The 24427-nt window shown below is 48.5% G+C and overlaps 2 long non-coding RNA genes across 3 annotated transcripts, besides 1 other annotated feature; one reads left to right on the top strand and one right to left on the bottom strand.

Moving 5' to 3' along the window:
• Nucleotides 1-74: 74 nt before the first annotated feature.
• Nucleotides 75-21710, bottom strand: LOC124904458 (uncharacterized). Of its 2 annotated transcripts, none has more exons than XR_007066743.1 (2): nucleotides 20293-21710; nucleotides 75-5844 (listed from the first exon to the last, which is right to left on the bottom strand). It is a non-coding gene; the product is annotated as an uncharacterized LOC124904458 (long non-coding RNA). The 2 variants fall into 2 exon arrangements; XR_007066742.1 differs by lacking the exon at nucleotides 20293-21710 and adding an exon at nucleotides 16519-17275.
• Nucleotides 8331-8390: an enhancer, noted in NCBI's record as "active region_2139". NCBI's record gives its function as "activates an Ori minimal core promoter by ATAC-STARR-seq in GM12878 lymphoblastoid cells {active_cell/tissue: GM12878}" and the evidence as "EXISTENCE:reporter gene assay evidence [ECO:0000049][PMID:35858748]".
• Nucleotides 12317-15438, top strand: LINC01657 (long intergenic non-protein coding RNA 1657). The gene is made up of 3 exons (NR_125964.1): nucleotides 12317-12568; nucleotides 13789-15075; nucleotides 15173-15438. It is a non-coding gene; the product is annotated as a long intergenic non-protein coding RNA 1657 (long non-coding RNA).
• Nucleotides 21711-24427: the final 2717 nt, after the last annotated feature.

Here is a 24427-nt window from a genome sequence, read left to right on the forward strand (position 1 = left end):
AACTGTGAGAAGGGCTCGCTTCAGCTCACCTCCCCCTCCCCACTTTCCCTAGAAGATCAAATTATGACCTGAAATCACTGGATACATATTTTATTATGTGGATAATTTAAAGGATTAGAGTGAGACAAAGAATTCATAAGCTGTAGTCACATTAGAAGACAAATTGTTTCCATTAATCTCTGAAGAAGGGAGGGAAGCTGAGAAATGAGAAAATGTACGTGAGCAGGAGAAGGGCAGGCGGAGAAAAGTGTTGTTGGGAAGTGGGGGTACATAGAAACAATGATGCTTTCTGTTCTCCCAGTCTCTTGCAACACCCCCACCCCCAAAACAAGCTGAGGCTCCGCTCCAAATAAGGCTGATTTGCATTGCAGATTTATCTCAGCTGCTTTTTGCTTCTGTTGCCAACCAGAGATGGTTTAAATAACAAGCATTGTTCTGTGTGATTCCTTATGCAAATGTTTCTGGCCTGTTTGTTATTCCTGAATAATTTCCTAGGCCTGCTGTCTGAGCAGAAGAAGCAGCTCACTCTCCCAGCTGTGCCAGGAGTCACCTGCTGGAGGCGTGAGGACAGTGTTTGTAATGGCCCCCTCCCCTTCAGGAAGACCTGCAATTGTGTCTCAGAGAGCTGGGTCTGCAAGCCCCACCCCTGGCTGGACCTAGGCTGGCAAATGTCGCATCAAGAAGGACTTCCAAGAATCCAGTCTAACAAGTTGGATTTTATAGTAGAGGGAACCAAGGCCCAGAAGAGGGTCGTTCCCACTGTGCCGGGGCCCACGTTTCTCCATTGAGTGCTGGCAGGATGAAGCCCTGTGCAGAAGTAGACAGTGAAACCAAGCTCTGAACCAAGCCTACCATGAACCAATGAATAAAAGGAATAAGCTCAGATTTGATGACTGAATTGTGTGGGCATTCACTGAGCACCCACTTTTTGCCAGGAGCAGGATTATAAAGTGAGGACACAAAGCAGGCCCTGCTCTCAAGAAGTTAATCCTTTGGAGGCAGCTGGGGTACAGGAAGCAAAATGCCATCTTCAATGTTTGTCTCCTTTCTTACTTCCACTGGCCCATAAATTCTGGGCTTTTTTTTTTTTTTTTTTTTTTTTTGGCATTCCAAAACCAGAGCATGCTATTCTTCATTCTTAACACACTTTACAATCACCTCCCACCTAATAAATCTGGGCCAGCGTACAACTGGTCACTCAGGCTGGACATGTACAGCCCCAGAAAACACCATTCTGTGTTCTTTCATTCACTCATTCATTCATTCATTTGTACCATTTATTTATTCACCAAGCATACGTTGTCCTCCAATGACCATGGTTGAATGGTGTAGTGTTAATATGCAGAGGCCCTGAAATCCAACAGACCTGGGTGTGAATCCCTACTCTGTACTTTCTGTATGATGTTGGGCAATTTTAAACTCTCTGGGCCTCGATTTCCTTACCTTTAAAATGGGGATAAAAGTTGCTGCAGGAGTGCATGATGTAATATACATGGAGCTCTTAGCACAAACTCTGGCATATGATGACCGTTCCAAAATTGTCATTTAAAAAAAAATCAACTCTGCTAGGCACCGGAGATACGGAGATGCCCATAAGTGTCTCTGTCCAGTCCCTGCTTCCTAACAGAGCATGCAGACATGCTCAAAGTGCTGTGGGAGTGGGACAGGCAGAAGAACTCTGCCTGGGGGTGACCAGTATGGCATCACCAGGAGTCCACTGTGGAGCAAAATCTCAAAGAAGAGTGGATATTCTTTAGGCAGAATGAGAAAATGTATGTGAGCAGGAGAAAGGCAGGTGGAGAAAAGTGTTGGGAAGAGGTGGTACAATGGACAATAATGCATTCTTTTCTCCCAGTATCTTGCCATGGTAAGGACCTCCAGGAGGAGCAAACAGGGTGTGTGAAGACTCAGAGGAGCAGAATAGCATAGCTTGTTTCAGAAAGCACAGGCTGGGGTGAGTGGCCTGAGCGGTGTTTCCAAAAGCATGGAACATGGACTTGAGATGAATCTGGCTGGTACCAGGATGCCCCTCCTTCTCTCCTTCAATTACAATTTCCTTCCACTGGGATCCCACTCTGGCGACCCCTCCCTTTGTTCCCTTCATTCCACTGGGGTTACAGGGACATTTGAGTGACAGGATTTCACCCCTGGCTGGATCCTATGCTTGAGAATCATTGTTCTGTGCATTAGAAAAAAATATGTAACTAACACAAAAATTTCCTTTTAAAAGAATTAATTGTAAGTAAAAAAGCATAAATCAGTTTAAAATATATTAAGTTAATAATTGTGCAGGTGATACTCATATAGTAGAAAGTCTCTTTAAGATGATATGCAAAGACCAACCTTTGAGAAAACCTGGACTAACATACAAAGCATGAATCAAGGAGTCGGAGGCTATGAGACCACAAAGGTAAAAAGACAAAGAATAGACTTCATAGGCCACGCCCGAGAGTTTCTGCTGCCTGAGACAAAAGACTTGAGTGGGTTTCATTTACTGAGCATCCCCTGATACCCCCACATAAACTCAAGGACCCAGTCTTATCCTTTCTGTGTCCCCAGTGCCCAGTGGAATTCGGCACTCAATGGTTCATCCAAAGTTTGCTGATGCAGACAAAGACGATGGTGGTCTTCCCACAGTGCTGAGTGTGGGCAATGCTCATCAGACTAAACCAATGTGGCCCTCCTGGACTCACTCTTCTCTGCAGCCTCTACTGTGTCACTGAGAAGATTATGATCCCAAGGAGATAGGGGTCCCTGGGGCATTTTACAGAGGAGGTTAAATTTCTAAACGGACACCTCCCTGGTGTGTCAGGGCAGGTGGGCTGTGATGAGCATCCCCAGCCTCAGAGCTCAGACTCTCCAGGTGTGGTCTCTAGACTGCCTGCACTAGCTTAGAAGATGCAGCTTCCCAGGCCCTTCACAAACCTCCAGCCCGGGAAGAGAGGAAAGAACAGGGACTCTTCAAGTCCTGGCTCTGCCTTTTGACATGCCATACCTCTCCCTATCCTCCAGTCTCTTCATATGGGCTATGGAGAGAGGAGTGCTTGCTCACTGGGGGGTGGTTATGAGGACCAAGTGAGTTGGTACCTATAATGCTCTTAGCATCATCCTTGGTGTAGTAAGCAGCACACAGCGCAGGTTCTTGTCATTGGCAGGATTTCCAGAATGAAGCCCCTAAAATCAGTACTTTCACCAAGCACCCCAGTCGGTTGTGATTTATACTAAGGTCTGGGAACCACTGCTGTAGACTGTTAGGATTTTAGAGTCCCTGACCCCCTGCCCATCCTCCTTCAATTGCAAGGCATAACCTCCTGAAATTGGGCTCACCCCTACTGACCCCTGTGCTGCTCCACTGGAACCATGGGGACAATTGTATGGCAGGTTCTACCCCTAGCTCTGCTGGGGCAGATGCAAAACCACTGGATTCTTTCCCATCATCCATTTTCTTCTCCACATCATAGCAAACGCACGACTAGAGTGGTCACAGTGAGGACGCAGACAAGATAAGAAAGTTCACACAAAGGAAAATAGAGCTGACTGCTAAATCTGCTTCCTAATATAAAGTTTGATCATGATCCTATGCAAGAGCTCAAGCATTTAACTCATTTCCACAAGCAAAGAGCACCAGGATATGTAGGGAGTTGAAGGTCAAAAGCCAGGGCTAGGTTGAGAGACTCCTTCTGAGTAACAATGGGGCCCTGGCAAAACCAGGGGATTTTAATAATAATTATAATAATGCTGGTGCAATATCTAGTACCTTTCTTTAGGGACCCTTCCCTGAACATTCTTGAGGAATAGGCAGGGGCAGCTGGGCAAGGGGGCAGGTATTTGTAGCCACAGAGCAGCAAGAGGAGTCATAGAGCATCATCCTCACTTTCTCTCCCTATACATCCTCATGAATCACACAGTACTAGGAACCAGTGCAATTCACTTCGGCACACTTTCCTGAGTGCCACTGGTTTGCCCACCCTGCCTGTGGGGTAAGGTGAGGGTGGGAGAGGTCAGAGGCATGGTCTGGGCCTTGTGATTACATAGTTTCCTGGGGACCTGAGATTTTCACACATGAAACAAAAAGAGAATGAATAATAATGCATTGTGGTGGAAGGAAAGGAGCATGTGTTTGGAGTGTTTACTGCAAGACCTGCTGTAATCATGTGCCTTAATCACACTGAGCCCCAGTTTCCTCCCTTATAGAATGAGAATGAACTCTCTGTCAGTGCTGCTCTGAGGATTAATTGTGACACTGTACATAAATGCAGGGAGCCCCAGGTGGGGCTTCCACATCCCCCTGCCACCTGCTTCTCCCCAGAAGTTCAGGATGTCTCCTGCCATGCCACTTGACTTTTGGGTAGCTTTGCAGGGGTCTTCGTTTAGATCTTGGCCCTTGCAATTCTGCACATGCCTCATGCGGTAATTCCAAGCCTCCAGCCTAGCAGATGTAATATGTTAGCAAGAAAAGCGTTTCAAAACTATGGTTGGTTAATTTGTATATTTTCTAGCTTAAATTTGCTTTTAATGAGCCTTGGTCATTTTTTCAAGGGTAATGGAGACTATCCTAGTGTTCTATGAGTTACTGCTCAAATGATGTCATTTAAACCTTTTGAATATACATTCCCCAATACAACTGCAAATAGCCCCATTTGGCACTGTCTTCTGAAGGCACAGCATTTAGGAAACACACTGTTTGGGGTTTGCTTTCTCCACTTGCTGAAAAAGTACACATGTTCCCCACCTCCCTCCAGGATGAGGCCCCCAAAATCAGTATTTTTACCAAGCACCCCAGTCGATTGTGATTTATACTAAGGTCTGGGAACCACTTACAGGGACATGAAGAAGCTATTCTCAGGGGGTGTTGAAAGTCTGGAGACCATGTTACTTGAGGTTCCTCAGGTTTTTCTTGGAGAAGGGGAGACCCCCAAGGGGCCCCAGTGGTTCTCTTTAAAGATCTGAAGACTTCTCATGAACCAAGTCCAGAGGCATATTTCTGCTCAAAGAGAGGAAAAAATTTTGATTGCTTAGAGCTATCTCATCAAGGAATGGGCTACTTTAAAAGGTAGGGAATCAAGCAGAGGATGAATACAGTGGAGAAGATGAAGAAGGGATTCCAGAATTGGCTAGGAGGTTGGACTGCATACTCTAAAGTTCATTGTACTTCCAAAGTGTGTAGAGCACACAACACGTGCAATGGTAGGTTGAGAAAAAGAAATGAGTTTTCCAGAAGAAGGAGGACTCAGATAGGCCCTTACAGGTGAATAGAGCTAAATTTATCAGAAAGGACAGGTTGGAACGTTCTCAGCTGGGATACTGCAGACTATGAGTTCCCTTTCTCATGAGCCAGTTCTGTCACGCTGATCTCCTGCTCCTGCCTTCCCAGGAAAAGTGCCAAGGTCTGCCCATCAGGGCCTGGAGCTAGAGTTGCCAAGGCCTCCAGAGGAGTTCTGCAGGCTTAGAGAGGAGTAGGCCTCCAGCAGCCCTGGCCACCCCATTCACGTTCAAACACTGAGGACCATGATGCCCCTACAAACCTAAGCCAGAAGCAGCATGTGCTGTGGGATAGGGGTGAATGGCCTGTGGCTTGGCTGAGCTGTGGTCACCTTAACCATCAAATCCCATTACCCACTGCACAGGTGAGGCATCGGATGTGGAGCAGTTGATAGAGAAGCAGCGAAAACACCAGACCAAACAGGCTGCCACTGGATTTGATCACTGCGTCCAGATGCAGCTGGAGCAAGGAAGTCAATAGGTGCTCTATGCACACACGTTCCAGAGGGTGGGATCTCAGCTTGATCTTACTATCGGTGGGGCACTGAGCAACTTACTTCATTCTCCAAGCCCAAGTTTCATCTGCGAACAGAAGAGAAAACACTGATCTCATGGGGTTGCCATAGTGGTAAGATGAGATAGAACAATGTGTTGACTCATGAGATAGAGATAGCAGCCAGCACATGATAGGTGCTCAACAAGTACCCTCCCATTCATTTAATTCCTCATTCAGCCAAGGTGATGGATAAGTAGTGGGAGGGGCATTTCATAGGACAGCTAAGAAGGGGCTGCATTTGGGGTAAGAAATGAATCTGTCCCCACACCTGAGAAGCTGTGCCCCTAGACCTGATTTGTAGAAACTGTTCTCATTTCACGGCAAAAGGGGAGAGAGAAAAGCAGTAACATAGCAGGCACCAAATATCTTAAAACCCATTAGCTTTTTGGATAATGAATCTAAATGCATATCTGAAATTTGGGAATAAATACCACTATACACCTACTTTTCTCCCAGTCCCTTAGGCTGAGTTGGGTGAGTAGCATCTTTACTCCATCAGTTTAGAGCAGTCTTAGGCAAGTCACTGAGTCTTCATTTCTTCATTTGTAAAATGGGCATTATACCACCAGCCTCACAGAGGTGGTGCAAGGATTAAATGACACAGTGCATAAGTCACCTAGCACTGTGCTGGCATATGACAGGCTTTCAAAAATGTGAGTTGCCTTCCCCTTCTTCCACCTGCTGCTGATTCTAGCCCTTGGTTGGGGGCCTTCACAGACAGGCTGGGTCACCTTAAGCAAGTCGCTCCCTGGCTTGCTCCCTCAGTGCCCCTTGTTACCCACCAGTAACCAAGACTACTGACAGGACAGGGCGGGATGTTGAGGGGAGAAGGAAGAAGTAGCCCTGAGAAAATAGGCTGGCATTTATTAGAAGAAAGTTCTTGGTGGTGGATTTAAAAGGAATTAGTGTACCTTGTCTCATACCAGATGCCACACTGATCTATCTTTAGAAACTTCTACGCGGGGGCAGGTTCCAGGGATATGAGCATCCCTGCTCTCCAAGGTTGGCTCTATAAATACCCTCCCAACCAGCCTCAGGAGCTCTCTCTGCTGTGATCCAGAAATAGTCTCTCCTCTCAGTAGCCCTCCAAGCTCCCAGATACCAGCTCCTGAGGCCCACCTGGAGCCCAAAGCGCCCTGGACACTGAGAAGAAACAGAAGGGCCCCACCTTTCTCTGTCCTCCTCCCCCTCTGTATCCCCAAAGGCCGCTGTACTTCACAGTTGTATTGTGGAGCCTGAGAGCATGAACCCAGAAGACAAAAGACAAATGATAGAATCATGGTGTGGGAGCTTGCAGGATGAAAGGCTGGGGGACAGGGGGACAAGTGGACTGGGGAAATGGGCAACTGGGGAACTGGGGGACTGAGGGACTGGGGTCAGGGGCAGGGAGGGAAGAAGACAAGGCATGGTGGAAGGGAAATGATTTCAGTCTTCATTAACTATTTCCTAAGCTCCTACTCAAGGCTGGGCAATGTCCCGGACACTGGATGGACAGTGTAAAGACAGACACAGCCCGTGCCCTCGGCGGGGGCTCGGAGTCTACAGGCAATACTCCAGAGAGGCATAGAAATCTGAATCCCTTACTATTTGGAAAAATGGAGCCTGAAGAGAAAAGGGAGTGATGGGGAGGGAATTCCCAGAAAAGCAAAGAAACAGATGTTATTTCTTCAGTTCTCTTGTCTGTTGGTGTTTCTCACTTTGTGCAGTCTGTCTGTAAATAGGTGTATAAATTGAATGTCTACTGTGTGAGTGATGTTTTAAATGTGCCAGGAGAGCTCCATATTTAAGGTAACTTTGGGTGAGCTTGTCTATGATGGAGCTGATTATGCCTGTAGACACACACACACACACACACACACTCTCTTTATCTGTCTCATCAGCCTAAAAGGTTTGCTATGAGTTTCTAGCAGCTGCCACTCCAGGCCTGGGCCCCACAGTCTGCACATTCTGGATGGTCCCCTGTGATCTGGTGGTAGCGGGCCACCACCATTCTGGGGGCCCTCCTCACTCATGCCAGATGCCTCCCTCTCTACTGCCTTTCCATCTCCTGGCCTCCCAGAAGGCAGGGTCGGCAACTGCAGGACGGGGAGGAAGCCAGAGAGAAAGGGAGAGAGAAGGGACAAGGAAGCGTGAGATAAGGAGGGAAAAACTAAAGAGAACAGGGAGGTAAACGGCCCTCACTTCCCCTCTCTCCATCCCATTTCCATAGTCCCCTCTCCCCTCATCCCCCTCCTCCCTTCAGCCCCCCACCTCTTCCACACATCCACCCAACACTCAGTCTCTACCCCCTGGAATCCAGCACCACACCACAGGTGTGAAAGCCAGGGCATGGGCTGGGCCCTGTTCTCCAGATAAAACTCCCAGAGTTGTCCTCATGGGTAGAGCTCCGTGACCTCAGTCAGACTCTCAGCCTCCCTATGCCTCAGTGTCTGCCTTATTGCTAGGGGCTAGTGAGCATCAGGAGAGGTAATGTTTCTAAAATAGCACAGTGTCACTGTTCAATATATAGAGCTGCAGCAGAACTAGCCTGAAGACACTGTGGATTTAATATGTGCCTAGGGACTGGCCCGGGGACCCAATACCCATTACTAATGCTTTCCCTGGGAAAGACCAAGAAACTAGAGTTGTGAATAGGTTTCATTTTCAGGCTCCCCGGGGACTCCTCGCACCCATGTGACTGTCACTGACCCATCTTCCATCCCCCTAGTATCTCTGAGGTCTGCTTTGTGACTTGTCATTGGCAGACCCAACCTGAGCCACTATTTGGAGTGGTGGATGGTTTGTGTTTAAATCCCAGTGTCACAGTGAAGAAATCACAGGCTTGTTCCTGAGCAACTGCAAGTAGAATTAAATCGTCAGCAAGACTGCAGGGTTAGAAGTCAAGAAAGCAATTTTTTTAAAAACCGACCTCAACTCATTCTGTAATATTTCCTATTTACATTAAAGAATGTCAATTCCTGGCTTTAGGCCTCACAAGAGACCAAGGATTTAAAGATACTTATGAGACAGATATAAATCTTTGATAAGAAAATAACCACAAAGAGAGACATGCTGGAAATGTTAAGTCGGTTAGATTTGGTCACAGCTCTTTCCTTTTTGCCTGACTTGACTTATAAACATGGGGTGCTCTGCCGGCTCCTGGAGGGAGAAGACTCCCCTCTCCTGTTTCAGAGTGAGGCTTACATGTTTGGTACAAGCACTTTATGTCTGTGCCTGTTGTTCACAGTTAGAAAGAGCAATTAGAAATGTGCTAATTATTCTTTTACTTGTAATTTGGTCCCTAAAGTTTAAATGTTCAGCGTGTGGTTATGTTGATGCCTGACATGACTGGTTGTTCCTGAAGACACCAGCAGCCTGCAATTCCCTATCAGAGAAACCTGATGCACATCAGAGCAGATCACCTGCCAAGGATTCCAGGTGGATTCCAGGAATGAGGGCAAGAGTCTAGGCGGGAACTGGGCATCAGGCAGGATGACTAAGCCTTGACCAGCCTCTGGGCCTCTTTGTCAGTTTCTTGAATCATATACTAGATCTCAGGTTTTGGTAAGAGGTTGGTAGGGGGATGTCTGGCCAGAAAATCACTCTAGATGGAGCATACTACTGGTGCAATTTGGAACAGACAAAAAGATGGGGCAAAGACTCTAGTGCTGACAAAGTCCAGGCAAAGAGCCATTAGAAGGACCCTGGATAGTGGCAAGGAGACCTGTTGGTCTAACTCGCAAGAGTCTACAAATCTAAGTGTTGTCTGTGGCTTGGTTCCCTGGGATAAACTATCAGAATTGTGAAGGTCAACCTTTATGACTTATTCATGACAATTAATGGCAGGGATTGAAGCACAGCCTACAAGTAGAACAAGTGGCCAGTTAATGAACTTATCTAGTGTAGACTAAAAAGAAATTCATGAATTGGCTTCTTCCCTGGAGTGGCCACTGGGCCTCATTTTGTCTTTAGATGTGAAACAGAGAGAGGACCCTAATGTGACATGATTCTTGGAGATCCCCAGCACTCACAAGCCAGTGGCACCAGTGGAGCAGCATTCCCTGCAATCATCTGGGGTTCACTGGCTGGGGCTCTGCCTGCACTTGCAGCCTCCTCAGCCCCTTTCTTTCACAAGGTCTTTCGTAGATGTATTTTGGAGACCCCTGCGAAGTCTCACAGGAGCTTGTGCAGTGCCTTCTCATGCTCTCCCACATGTCCCTCCATTGTCGACGAATTGAAGCCAGTGGAGCATGGTGCCTTATTGACCACTGCTGTGAAGTGATGTAGTTTGTCTTTGAGGATGCTTTTGCCTCCTCTTCACGGAGGCTCCAGGAAAACAGCGACTTCTTTTTCCACTGCAGACTCCCTTCTATTGCCTTAGGTGCAGGACTGGGCCAGGGGAACAGGGTCTCAGACAGTATCGTGAAGTCTTTTCCTTTCCTCTCCTGTTTCCATGGAAGCCCCTTCAGTCTTTGCCAATACATTGTCTCTAATGAAGACCAGCTCGGGATGGCGCTGCTATACCAGGCTGTCAGATAGACTCAGACACTCCTTTCTGTCAATATGGTGCTCAAAGCAAGAAGGAAGCCCTAGCCCTTCCCAAAACTGAAACCAAGGCAAAAGCTTTGAAGGCCACAGAGGTTGTGCTGAAAGGGCCTATAACCATAAGAAAGAAATAGATCCATATGTCACCCATCTTCCAGGACCCAAGACACCCTAAGAACTTTCAGAAGACCATCCTCGAGACCACCTTGATGCAAATCCAATGCCACCAGCCACAGAGTGAACCATAAAGAAGACAGGTCAATGCCACGTGGGTTCTCATCAGGGAACAGGCGCCCAGCTGGGTAAGCTCTGGGGAGGCTCACACACCACTCCGGAGGGGATCCCACCCCACCCAGGCTTGATGGAGAGGAGACACATGTTAGATGGTGGCACTGTGAGTGCTGACAACAAAATCAGGATTAGCTAACAGAGTCCAGCTGGATAGATCTAAATCTAATAAACATTTCCTTCATCAGGGGAAAAAAAAATCCCAGCACAAGGCCAGACTTGGGTCGCTAATACAGCATCGCTTTATTCCACCAACTCAGATGCTGTGAGTCAGGTCTCCTTTCCCACATCTACCCAACTCAAGTTAGCACCAGAGTACCTTTCCCGTCTACCTTTCTGGCCTCACGGCTCCCTCTGGGTGTGTGATGGCCCAGCCAATCTGCTTCTGCACCAGGGACATCTGGATGCAGGCGCTGACCCAGTACACTGGGAAGTGGTATGTTTGAGGTCAGAGAAGACCGTGATGGAAGAGAGGGTGTCTTGACCTCAGCATCTTGTCCTCTGTTGAGTGCTTCCTGAATAACGGACACGGTGCTATAGGCTTTACATTCCCCTCAACAATATAGTATTTCTCCTTACTTTGTAGCTAAGAAACTGAGGCTCACGAAGGAGAAGTAGCATGCCCAGAGCCACGGAACTATGAAGTGGCTGGGCTGGGTGAGAGCTCAGGCCTCCCAGCTCCTAAGGTTGGGCTCGTTCCTCTACTTTATCCTGCTACCCCCAGGAGGCCTTCAGCAAAACTAGCCTCTTCTACAGTCAGCTCCAATCCCGGCACATCCTGGCCCCCTAATTAGCCTGGCTTCCTGTCTCTGGATCCTCAGTTCAGCTGGAGATGTTGTGCAGCATGTGCCTAGCTTCATGCTTTGGCCTGATTCCTCCTATTCTCCCTGGGAAAGGCCCTGGGCTTGTCTTTCTGGCTTTCCCAGCTCCTGCAGCTGCCACACGCTGACCCCATACTGTGTGGCAACCCTCATATCTGTTACCAGGGACCACTCCCGCAGCTGCCACCTGACCCCTGAGCCGAGCAGGAAAGCTCACTCGTAGACTGACAGAAGCCTTGAGAGGTTATCCTGTCTATGCCCCAGGCCACCAGGCCCGCACACGCATAGTTCTAGTGCAATGGTGCTCTCACCTAGGTAAAGGTGGCTCCCAAAGGGTGACAGCAAGTCACCTCATTGACCCCACCTAGAAGCAAACATCTCCCTCAGGAATCCCTGGCTTCCAAAGTTTATTGTCAAACTCAAGGCTTTCCTGGCAGAAGATGCTTCTGGCCAATGGCAGCCATCCATACTCTGGAAAACCCTCATCTATTCAGCACCCTGCCACCTCCCCATCTTCAGGCTAATTCCAGCTTCTTCACTTCACCCTGGGACCATTTCTAGGCACCCCCCAATTATCCAGTGACTCTCTTCTGAAGACTCCAGAAAGCCCTGCTAAAACCCGGCTTGTGATTCCCTCAAGGAGGCCTGAGTGGAGACCAATTAATCCTCAGCATCATCAAAGCCACTAGGCAGTTCCTTAGGCAGGAGCACTACCTGCAGGCCACCCTGCCCATCCTGTCCACAGTGACAATGAGGCCTGGGCCGCTCATGGGGCATCCTGATGCACTCTAGATGAGGTCACACTGGCAGGGAGGAGCTGCTCTTGCAAGGCCAGTCCCTTTACATGTGATGGGTATTGTGAATGAGTGGGGCTAGAGTTGCCTCCCCAGGAGGGGCTGGAGGTCAGGGCCTGGTGGGCTCTGCAGGCTTATCAGTTCAGCACAACGTGCTCCTGCATTCAAGAAACAGGGCATGGGGCTGCTCACTGGCACTGGAGGCCGAAAGAAGGTGAGGGCAAGTGAGATGCAGGGACCTCTTCTCACAGCTGTGCTGACAAGCACAAAAAGGAGCCCCCCACGTCCACACCAGGAAAGGGGGGATGGTGCACAAGATCCAGGTACTTCATGTGTGCCCACTCCTCTGCCAATCTCATCAATGCTATGGATCACTCATACGTCTCCCACAACTTTAAGGCTGTCACTGACCCTCAGGGGTCCGGTGGACCTAGATCCACAGGGCTGGGCTGGCCTCTGTTCCTGGTGCATTGTCATTCCGTGCTCTGGCCACAGGCCACAGGCCACAGGCCACAGACGGGTGCGGCCAGTGGTTACCTCTCTTCTTTTGCCCCAGCTTCTGGTAATAGGGGCTTCAAGGACCCTGAGCTCAACCTGACCAGAGGGAATTTCCTTCCCACTATTTGACTCTGGCTATAAAGGGATAAGAATAGGGGGACTACTTTTATGGTAGTCTTGCTTTCTATCTTGATGAAAAATCTGCTATTTTTGCACTGGTGTAGAAGGAAAATAGAACCATGGCTTATGTACCCAAGTTTTGTAGCTGAGGTCATGTACTTTTGATAGTCTGTTATGTTTCTCCCAATTACAAATATGCTCCTTCCCCTTGGAATTTGGGTAGAAGGGCACAGCCCTCCCCACAGTCCAGCTAATCGCGTGCCCACGAGAGAGAACAGGGGGCAGGGAGTCCCTCTGGGAGAGCCGGAGGGGTTCTGGCGATCGATAGCGCAGCCTCCATCCATCTCGATCCTCATCGGTCTGTGGCCTATTAAGCGCTCCCTGTCTGTCGATAAGCCCCTATTATTGCTCTTGTGCTGCGCACGCTGAGGCCAGCTTCCATTTGGCCAGAGAAAAATAATGATTGTCTGTTTATTTGTTGGGAGGAAATGCCCAGCCACAAACGAGCATTTGGCCCACAGCCAGGTCCTGTGGAGCCCTCCCTCCGCCCAAGCCCTCCCTCTAGAACTCTTATAGCGGTGATCTGCAGGCTGGTGTTCGTCACGAGAAGGTGGCCCAGGAGATGCCGAAATCCACATGGATGCTTCCAGGCAGCCAAGAACACATTGGCAACCTTGACTCATTCCTTGGCTGGTGCAAGTGGGGAGGGCACTGCTGGGGAGAGTTGGCAATGCAAGCTAATGTGACAAAGGGTTCCCAAGCAGGCCTGGCCATGGGCTTGTGAGCTCCAGGGGCCCTCGCCTGGGAAACTGCTGGCAGAAAGCTCTGGCAACCACACTGAGTCAGGGCTACTGGGGCCTAGGAGTCCTGGCCCTAAGCAACTGTTTCCTCTGCTTACACCTTAGCAACTGTTTCCTTCCCTTAGCAGGAACTTTGGAGTCACACTGACGTGGGTTCAAATCCCAGCTCTGCCGCTGAGCAACTGTGAGATCTTGGCAAATGTTTAACTTTCCTGATCCTCTATTGACTCATATGCTAAATGTGACTTAGAATGCTTGTGTCGTAAGACTGGCGTGAGATAAAGTACGGCAAGTGGGAAACACAAAGCCTGTGCACGTGAGGCCCTCAACAGAAAAAGCTGAATTGCTGTGTACTGGTAGCCTCCTTTCTCTTACCAGGAAGCCCACGCCTCTGGCTAAACCCTCAGGCTCACTTGCCCACCATTACCAGGTGCCTGTCTCCCTTGCCTGTCTTCCCTTGACTCGGGGAACTTCACCTGCTTTCCTTCCCTAGAAGGCCCCAGCGCCCACCTTGCTTGCTGTCCTTCAAATCAAACAACCTGCCCTTTCTTCTAAAAAGGCTTTACTGTTATCACTAAAGGGAAACAAAAAGGTGCAACTAAAACTAGCCTTCCTTAAGCCTGGGCCCAAGTCCCAACCCTGATGCTAACTTGCAGTGCTACCTTCAATAAGGTGTCCAGCTTCTCAAAGCCTCAATTCTCTTACCTGTCAATGAAGAGGGCTGTCCTAAAAGAGCTTTAAGAGTCTCTCCTACCCTACAAAATTGTTTTATTTTAGAAACAAAAGAAACATCTTGCAAAATCTTCATAAGTACTTATATCCCGTATTTCTCTCCATACTCTTCTCATGCGTGATCGGCTGACTCCCAAACTTCTTGCCAAAGTGCTCCTTTATCCTGAGATGTTAGTGCCCCTCACCACCACCACCAGCCTCTGGGTTCCCCCGACTCCCCCTGTGCTCTCAATCTGCCTGCATTCTTTGGGCATCATGTTCTGGAAGATTGATAGGGCTTTAGGTATTCAGGTAGCTCAATGAGCCATTTTCTTCCCAGGTGGCTCATTCCTTAGGGCATAATCCTTCCTGTCCTCCTTCCCTTTTTCTCACATAATCCTTGTTTCAGTCAACTTAAGCTAAGTTCAGCAATGGTAACAAATGATCCCAAATCTTAGTGGCTTACAATAGCCAAGAGCTATTTCTTGCTCATATTCATGTGCATGGCAGGTTGGCAAGGCCTGTTCCACATCCTCTTCATCCCAGAACTGAGAAGTCTCACCTGATGGAGGAAGAACCAATGGCAGAGCCATGTGATGGATCCTCAAGCTTCTGCTTGAACCAAGTCCATGTCACTTCCATTTACATTGTATCAGCTAAAGCAAGTCACACAGGCCAGCCTGCTGTCGGTAGGACAGGAGGTATAATTTTTCTTCAAATATCTTGACAATAACACAATCTACCCCATGATTAAGCCTTATTACTGGGATTCTCTGGTCCATACTGCTCATTTTACAGGTGACAGGACAAAAGCCCAGAGACATGAGATAATTAGCCTGAGCTAACGCAGCAAATCAGTGGAAGAGGAGGGACTAGAGCCCAAATGTGTTGACCTTCCAGTGCAGATACAACAGAAGGGCCAAGAGGAGATAGGTCTGGATTCAATCCCAGCTCCATAATTCTAGGCAAATTCTTTCAACTCTGAGCCTTGGCTTCCCTTCTATAATATAGGCTAAGAGCACCCACCTCCTGCAGGGAGGTTGGGAGAGCTGGCTGAAATTTCATAAAGTGTCTCACTCAGTGTCTCACACAGAGAAACCTCTTGACACATGTCTGTTTTCTGTCTCTTTCTTCCCTGTCAACTGCACCAAACTCCTTCATTTCATTCCCTTCTCTCTTCTTTCTTATCGAGCCCACCTCTTTTTTTTTGTCAAGAAGTTGGGAGAAATAAAACATTTTAAAGACGAGAATAGCAGTGATCCTAGGGCAATGTGGCTCAGGTACAAGAAGCTGGCAGGGAAGCCTTCTGTGGTTGCCTCCAGGCTCAGTAAGAAAAGGGTCCTCAAAGCCCTCCTCAAGGATCTAATGACACGCTACCTATTTACATCCATTATCTCCTCAAATCCTCACCACAACCATGGGCAGGGATCACCATTAGTCCCATCATGCAGATGACAAGACTGAGGCCAGAAAGGTTGAGTGACAAGCTCACCAGCCCTGGAAGCACTAGGCCTTCGCAATCACAGATCTTTGGGCTCAAACGTCTATATTTTGCTGCTATCCCCAAGGTTGAGCCTGTCCCCACATACACTTGCCTCTCCTTATATGCCTGGCACCACATAATAAAAACAACAACGTCTGAGCCTCCACAAGTGACATGAGTGGTCTCTGGGGAGTGAGGGAGGCATGGCTGGTGTGGGGATGATGGTGTGGGGGAGGGAGGATACTGGGGAAGAGACCAGGAAAGTAATTTCAAGAACAATTGTCACCGGTTCTGTTTGGCTTTGTCTCATAAAAATTCTGTTTTCAACATTCATGAAATGGAAGTCCAGGAAAGTCTGTTTAGGCAGAGCCATTTCCTGAGAGATCTGACAGTTAACATTTCAGGGATGTATCAGGGATATGTATTTCAAATACCCCTCCCAAGGACAGCTGTGGAACCTGTTTGGAATATGTTTTTATGATTAGGTGAGGGGTGTGTGTGTGAGAGCAGATCGCTGGCTGTTGTGTTTGTGGTTTGCTTTTTTTTCTCTCTCTCTTCCCCCCCGCTCCCTTTGAAGGGCTGTTTTCTTTGTTCTGGGATCCTAGCTCTACTTAGAATGTCTAATAATGACACAGATGGTCCCAATTTATTGCTGCCTTACCTGTCTGAGGGAGATACCTCGACGTCCCTCTGTCCCACCTGCCAGCATCTTTCTTCCTGAGCTGTCCTGTGAGGACTGTGAGCAGCCGCCTCTGCTGCCTTTCCCGAGCCATCTTCTCCAGAGCCCTCCCATTCAGATACAGTAGCTCCGATGGCCCCTTCCTGAGGGCAGACACCTCTGCTCCCTGCTCCAAATGAAACAGGAAAACATCCCTGGTCTGCTGAGTTTCCAGCCTCAACCAAGGGTGCAGACCTGTCCTGCCTCAAGGGAGACATGGCAAAGCAATGGGGCTTTTACAGAGAGCAAGAAACAGGCTGTGTTTTACTGATTTTGAACAGACTGTGCTGGAAGGCGAGAGATGTGTTTTCATGATAAAGAATGAGATGAAAAGGCCTCAAGGTTTAAGTGACAAAGTGCTGAGTTTCCACTGTAGCCCACCCCCTTCCTAGGACTGCAGTGTCTTCTTTTACCCTCCTAACAAGTCTGGAGTGGTGGTGGAGGTAGGGTGGCCCGGTCAATCATTCCACATTCATTCATTTATTCACCAAGCATTTTCAAAAAGCCTATTGTATCTAGACATTGTTCTAAAAATCAGAGACACAGACAAAATTCTTAAGTATTATGGGGGAGTAGAGGAATTGCAGAGGGGGAAAACAAATAAGTAACATAATATATTGGCAGTTTTAAGTTTTCTGAAGGAAAATAAAGCAGACAGAGGATAGGGAGTCCTGGGGTGAGGGAGTGAGGGTAAAGGAGGTGAAAGCTCAAGCCAAGCCATGCAGGCATCTGGGGGCAGAGCAGCCCAGGAAGCATGAGCAGCAAGTGCAAAGGCCCTGTGGCAGGTGGGAGCCACCATAGTGAGGAGCAACAAGGGTGGGGCCTGAAGCTGAGTGAGGGCAGCACAGTGGCAGGAGGGAAGGGAGGGGAGGAGGTGAGAGGCCAGATTATGCAGGCCTGTGGGCTGACACAATGACTTTGGCTGTTACTCTGAGTGCAGTGGGGGCCACCGGATTGTTTAAGGAGGCTTGTGATCTGACCTATGTTTAAAAAGGTTACTCTGGCTGCTGAGTGGAGTATTGACTGTACAGGGGCAAGGGTGGGAGCAGGAAGAGGAATTGGGAGGCTTGCCCAGAGGGCCAGGGGAGAGTGGATGGCAGCTCAGACCACGATGGTAGTGGCACTTGGATTCTGGATATATTTTGAAAGTAGGAGCCAATAAGATTTGTTGGTGGCTTAGATATAGAGGTACACTAAAGAAGAAGACTCAAACATATTTCTAAGGATTTGGCAACTTAGAATGTGGAGCAGATTTGGAGGGGAATATCAGGAGTTTAATTCTGGGTGCATTGAGTTTAAGAAGATGCCTGTTAAACATCCAAGTGAAAATGTGCAGGCTAGAGATCTACATTTGGGAATAGTCAGCATGTTGAGCATCTCCTGTGAGCTGGATACGAAGGCATTACAGTTCCCATTTATGAAGCATTTCCCAATTATCATCTCATCTAGTCTTCATAATAGCCTGTTGAGAGGTGGAGACAGGCTCAGAGAAGTCCTGCACGTTTCCTAAAGCCACACAGTTAGCAAGTAGCAGAGCCCCTCAAACAGCTCATCTTCTGGGAGGTAGTGGCTCTTGACCCTGAACAAGGTACTTTGGCTGTCTAAGCCTCAGTTTTCCTCATCCACAATTGGGGGCAGTAGCACCAAACATGATTATCTTCTGAGGCTTAAATGAATAAAAGGGGCTCTGAACAAATGTTGAGTCCCTCTTCTCTTCTTTCCCTCTGATTCCAGCATCCTGGCTCTCTCCAGACGCTGCCTTCAGGTTGAGAGGCTTCTTCATCAATGAGGACCCCCAGGCTGTATGGCAGTGCTTTTTGATCACTTCCTACAGATGCTCATTTAAGATGCCTCAGTTTCACCCACTTTCACTTGACTGTGAGCCCCCAGAAGACGAGCGGCTGTATTTCCCTCATCCCTTTAGCCCCATAGTTTCTACAATAGTGCTTTAGATTCTGCCACTAACCAACCAGGTAGACTCAAGAACCAGAATCATCCTTTTTGGCCTCATTTCCCTCACTTATTCCCTGTTTCTCTCCCACTGTTCTCCCCCTGTAGGTCAAGGCCATGTTCTAGGGGTCCTGGGATTCCTGTGACCCCACTCAGAAGGCTGGGGGATGGGGTAGAGTCTACAACAGAATGCTTTCCCCTCAGCCTGTAACCATCTGGGCACCAAAAGGGCTGAGCAGCCCTGCCCAATAAAAATATAATGCGAGCCATGTTCGTAGTTTTAGTTTCTAGTAAGCAGGAAAAACACTTCAAAAAACGGGTAAAAGGGATTTTTAATAATAATGTTTACCTAACCCAGTATTATCCTAAATATGACTTCAATATGTAATCAATATTTAAAAATTAATAATGAGATATTTTACATTCTGTTGGCTCATACCAGGTTTTTGAAATCTGGTGTGCATTTTACACTTACAGCACATCTCAGGAAAAGTCCCATTTCAGGTACTTAAAGCCGCCTGTGGTTAGTGGCTACCATGCTGAACCCCAAAGATGCAGGGGTCAGAAACAGCTTTCCTAGTCTATCCAATTGTTTCCAAGCCCTTTTTGGTCCACAATTTTTTTTTTTTTCCCGAGACAGGGTCTCACCCGGGCTGGTCTCAGACTAGTGGACTGAAGCAATCCCAAGTAGCTGGGATTGCAGGTAGGTGCCATTGCACCCCGCTAGAGGTCCAGAATTCTTGAGCCTACACTTGGCCATGTCCTTGGTCAATGGACAGCCTCCCCCAGACCCTCTCCCTCCCCTCTTCCATTTAACCCGTTGTCTTCCTCTCCTGAGATCCCATCTGCTCCTGGCCAGCACCTGGTGTGCTGTATCAGTCCCTGTCTGTTTTTCTAGCTAGGTTGCTGCATTTGGGAGGGGAGAAGGAGGCACTACCGATCCTGAGAGGAGGACTACTGTCAGGGCCGGACTAGTGTCAGGGCCGGAGAAGAGGCCCTCCAGCTGGGCTATGTTCCCTGAGACCATCTACAAACAATGGGATCTTTTACAGGGAAAAGAAGACTTCTTGTTAGTGCAGCTCCCACACTCATGGTGCTAAAAGACTTATGATTCCTCCCCAGGCTTGAGTTACAGTAAAATAACTTCTAGCCCTCACCTTTAGGAGGGATGGGGATGGATAAAACCCTCTGGACACGTTTTTCTCATTTTCACTCTCCAGAGACATCTGTGACTGCCTTGGGGTTACTCCTCTCCTCCCAGGTCAAGTTCACCTCAAGCAAATACATTGATCTTGGAATTCACTGAAGCCTGGAACCATCCCAACTCCCATTCTCCCCTCTGTATCTCAGGCCTAAAGCCTGGAAACTCCTGGGAACATTCAAGGGCCACACCCTGCCCAGTGCCTGCTTCCATCTACCTCTCCTTCCACCCATCTCCCCCCACTGACACCCAGACACCCAACAGGCGTGAAACTCGTCCCTCGCCATTGTTCTTGGCAGGCCTTCCTTGTATCCCCTAAAGAACACACCCCCACTTATTTTGCTCCTCACTTGTTAATCTTTTTGTGTATAATGGAAATAATAATAGAATCTACTTTGAGTGAATATGAGTATTAAAGGAGTTGATGTGTGCAAGCTGCTTAGAGTACATATACAGTGTGAATATAAGCACTTGTTCCATGATTCTCTTAACACTTTCATGAGATGGGTATTTTCCCCCTTTTTAGAAATGAGAAAACTGAGGCTGAGAGAAGTAAAATGACTTACTTGGGCTGATGGGTAGTAAGTGGCAGAGCTGGGACTCAATTCTCAGGCTTCTCTCCCTCATTTCAGGATTTGCCACATCATGTTAGGCAGCCTCACTGAAAATAGAATGAATGGTCCTTGCCCACAGGAAATCTAATCCAGTCAAGGAGACTGTACAAATGCATGGAAAATTCCTGAGATTGTTTGTATCCAGAGCTGTTTCATAACTGGGGGAATCAGGAGAAAAGGAGGCTGAGGAGTGTGATGGCAGTCTTGCTCTCTAAGAGGCTGTTGTCAGAGGGCTCTTGGCTGCCTGCTCCATGGCCTCCTGAATGGGGATCTCTGCCCACTGCCTACCCCCCACCAATGGGGCCTCAAATTGTTACCCCTGGTTTGATTGACTGCCAGGAAAGAAACAACAAAAAACTGGACTAGATTAGCAAGGCAGCATATGCTGCTCATGGGAAGTTAAACAATTGCACTTCTAAATAACAGCTCAACGTGGAACAGAAGAGATGTCACAAGGCAAGATATGATTAATTGCCAAATGAATTATTTAAATTGTAATTGCAGAGGAGTTCAGAGGAGTGCATGATTGCTGTGGGGCAGGAAAGGTCAGGAGAGGCCAGGCAGGAGGGCTATGTGAGCTGGGCCCACAGCGAGGGCAATGTTGGGCTGCAGAGCCTGGGCAAAAGCTATTCCTGAAAGGTAGAATGAGAAGGTACAGATGGGAGATGGTTTGACCCTGGTGCCAGGACCTCACAGGAGCTGAACTGCAGACAGACCTGCCTACCACAGGCATCTCCCCGATGACCCCTTTCTCCTCTTGGCCTTCCATCTGCTCTCTGACACTATGTGACCTGAGTTCTAATCCCCCACCTTTCTCTGGCCTAGTGGCCTCCTGTGCCTATGCATCAATTGCTCAGTCTGCACAGTGGGTTGAGAGGGCATGTTTTTCAACCAACATAAGAGAGAAAAAGCCTATCACTAGGCCTGGGTTGGAGAAATACAAAATCAGTAAGGTTTGCTACAACTCCATTACATTAAGGCTTATTTTGCAGGGGCTCAAATACACGTGAGACGGATTACATTTCTTGAAATGTAAGAGAGCGACATAAGCAGAAACTTAGCAGTGCCCCAGACCTGAGCCTGAATCCCTCTCTGTCCTGTAAATGCTGTGTAATCTTGGATAACTTGCTTAACTTTTCTGAGCCTGAGTTTTCTCATCTGTAATGTGGACTGGTGTATGGATATCTCATAGAGTTGCTTTCAGAATTGCCTGGGATAAGTCGCACCAAATGCCCAATCTAAGACTGGCCCATGATAGCTCCATAAATGGTAGTGGTGATTAGCAAAGAGCGGTCTAACAGATAACAGCTAAAATAGCTCTTCTGTTTTGCAGCCCCCTATGGACAGTGCCATAAAGCAAGTGTTAGCCTATCTATGCCCCAAATGACAGGGATACTGTATGGTTATATCTAGTGCAAGGGCTAGAAGATAAAACAAAATGATGGACAAGCATGCCAGGCCCATGGGGACAGGATCAGCTCATGGAGAGGAACAATGGCATGTTAGGGTGCCTGCAGCATGCTGGTGGAAGACAGAGACTTGAACCCAGGCCACAGGATGTGGTACTATGCAGCCATTATAATGGAATTAGGAAGACTATGCAGAGATGTGGGGAAATAGTATTTTATGAAAATGGCAGAATATGAAACGGTATACATACCCTAGTAGCAACTGAATAAATATGTTAAGGTAAATTGTTTTTTTTTTCGAGACAGAGTCTAACTCTATCTCCCAGGCTGGAGTGCAGGGGTACCATCTCGGCTCACTACAACCTCTGTCTCCTGGGTTCAAGTGATTCTCGTGGCTCAGCCTCCCAAGTGGCTGGGATTACAGGCACACACCACCACACCCAGCTAATTTTTGTATTTTTAGTAGAATAGAGATGAGACTCCCTGTGTTAGTCAGGCTGGTCTCCAACTCCTGGCCTCAGGTGATCCACCCACCTTGGCCTCCCAAAGTGCTGGGTTTACAGGCATAAGCCACCATGCCAGGTCAATTTTTTTAAAGAAAAGTAACAACAGTTGTGGAATTGGGCTAGTGTGACAGTGGGGAGAGGACTATTCTGTGCTTAACTTTCCCTTTAGTATGATTAGCTCTTAGACCTACATAGGTCCCCCACGAAAGGCAGCAGCTTCCCAGGGAGAAAGGGGGCTCTGTGCCTCTTCTCCCCATCAGACGTCTTGGAGGTTAAGGCTCCAGCGTGGCTGTGTATTTACAGAGGCGTCAACAGACACGTCCAGCGAACAAGCACAGGGTGGGCCGTCCGGGAGCCTTGTGCCGCCAGGAGGAAAGCCGCACCGAGGGCAGCAGGTAGGGAGAGGTGATCCGTGCTGGGCCCGGCAGGGGAGAGATGCTGGCGAAGGCAGGCACAGCACAGCACTGCGGGAGGATGTGGGTCAGAGGACAGCAGCGGGAGGCGAGCCTTTGGCTCAGTGGAAGAAAGAACTGTCAGGCATTCTGAACAATCGACAACAAGGAGAGTTCCAACTGAGGCTGGATGAGCTGTGGTCAGGGGCTGGGCCTGAGGAGGCGACGGAGGATGCCGGAAATGGGTAGAAGGTAAGCCAGGATCAGTGGTTCCCAAACCTGACTGCCCATCACAATCGACTGGAGGTGCTTGTGAAAATACAGATTCCTAGGGCTCTGCCCCAGACCCACTGAACCTCCAGCACTGGTACCAGAATCTGCCTGTTTGGGAACCTCTTGGGGATTCTCCGGAGGCCGACGACTGGGCTAGCCCTGGGAAGCGCAGGCTGACACTGCCCCTAGTGGCCTTTGGAGATACTGTGCTAGACTCAGAGCCTTTATGAGGAGCCGGGGAGGCTGTGCAGGCACCGGGCAGCTTGGGGCACAGGGCTCGGACTTAGCGCTCGCACGTGAAGCCCCTGCCACTCTCTCCCAGCTCCCTCCTCCCCCAGGGAGGCTCTGATGGCTGCCAAGAGGTAAATCGAGCAGAACCCCTCCCCGCCACTCCCTAAGGAGCAGTCCGATGCCTGCGCATCCTCCTGCCTCGGAGGGGCCTGAGCGGGTCAGGCTGGAGCACATTGGAGTCCAACGAACAAATCTCCATAATGAAGGTGTACAAGGAGTCCAGATTTCAGTGACAAACCAAATATCACATTTCTTTTTTTTTTTCTTTAAATTGACTCAAATACAAGTATGAGTCTTCATCCCCTCCAGCTTGAGAGAAATTTACCCTCAGTCACCATAAAATCTCTCACCCCAGATCTAATGCAAGCCCAGGCTTCAAAGAAGACCTCCTGGTGGTTCTGAAGTTAAACTCTCCGCCCCTCAACTTCTCACGGGGAAACAGAAGCGGCTACTCTAAGCATGGATGAATACCTGTAAGGCGTTTACCACAGTGCCAGGCACAAAGCACTCAATTACCGTTGCTGTTGATCTGTCTATACTGTCTGCTATTGAGACACCCGTTATCCTGCCCACGATGTCCTTCCAGGCCCACACAACTCCTAGGGCCTGGAACCTTCAGAAAGTAGCCAGAAGTCTCCTCTAAGCTCTTGCTTCTCCCCAATTTGCTTTCACCAGATAGTTCCCAGATCCTCACTCTCTCTCAACCCATTATGGGGAAACATCACTCTTTCCGTCTATCTCTCTCTTTCTCATTACCCTCAATGGCATTTGGCATAAGCTCTTCAATGTGTTTAGTTCTGCACCAAGGCATGGAGAACAGCTGCCTTTGAGCAACTTCCAAGGCTGCCAGACTGAAATGGGAGATGGAGAAAATATAGGGAGAATCAATGCCTGTTTCAGTGAATGGAGCTGGGATTCAAATCCAGGCATCCTGACTGCAGAGCCCTGAGTGTCCCCACCTACACACACCCTGTGTAACTCACAGAGCCTGCCAATGTGGGAAGGGCTGCTGGCACTGAGTATGGCCCCTCCCAGGCCTACTCCACTTTAATGGAGGCTCCAGTGGACAAATTCCTTAGCTCTGAGGAATGGCTCTCTCATGGTAAAGTCTGCAGACCTCGGGGAAGCGTGGCTAACAAATGTTGAGGAATGGAGCCTCTTGATGTCCCTCCAATCACACTCCGCAGGCTTCAGACCCACTATAACCCCATTCATT

The sequence above is a fragment of the Homo sapiens genome, chromosome 1 (genome assembly GCF_000001405.40).
Source record: "Homo sapiens chromosome 1, GRCh38.p14 Primary Assembly".
Classification (NCBI taxonomy): Eukaryota; Metazoa; Chordata; class Mammalia; order Primates; family Hominidae; genus Homo; species Homo sapiens.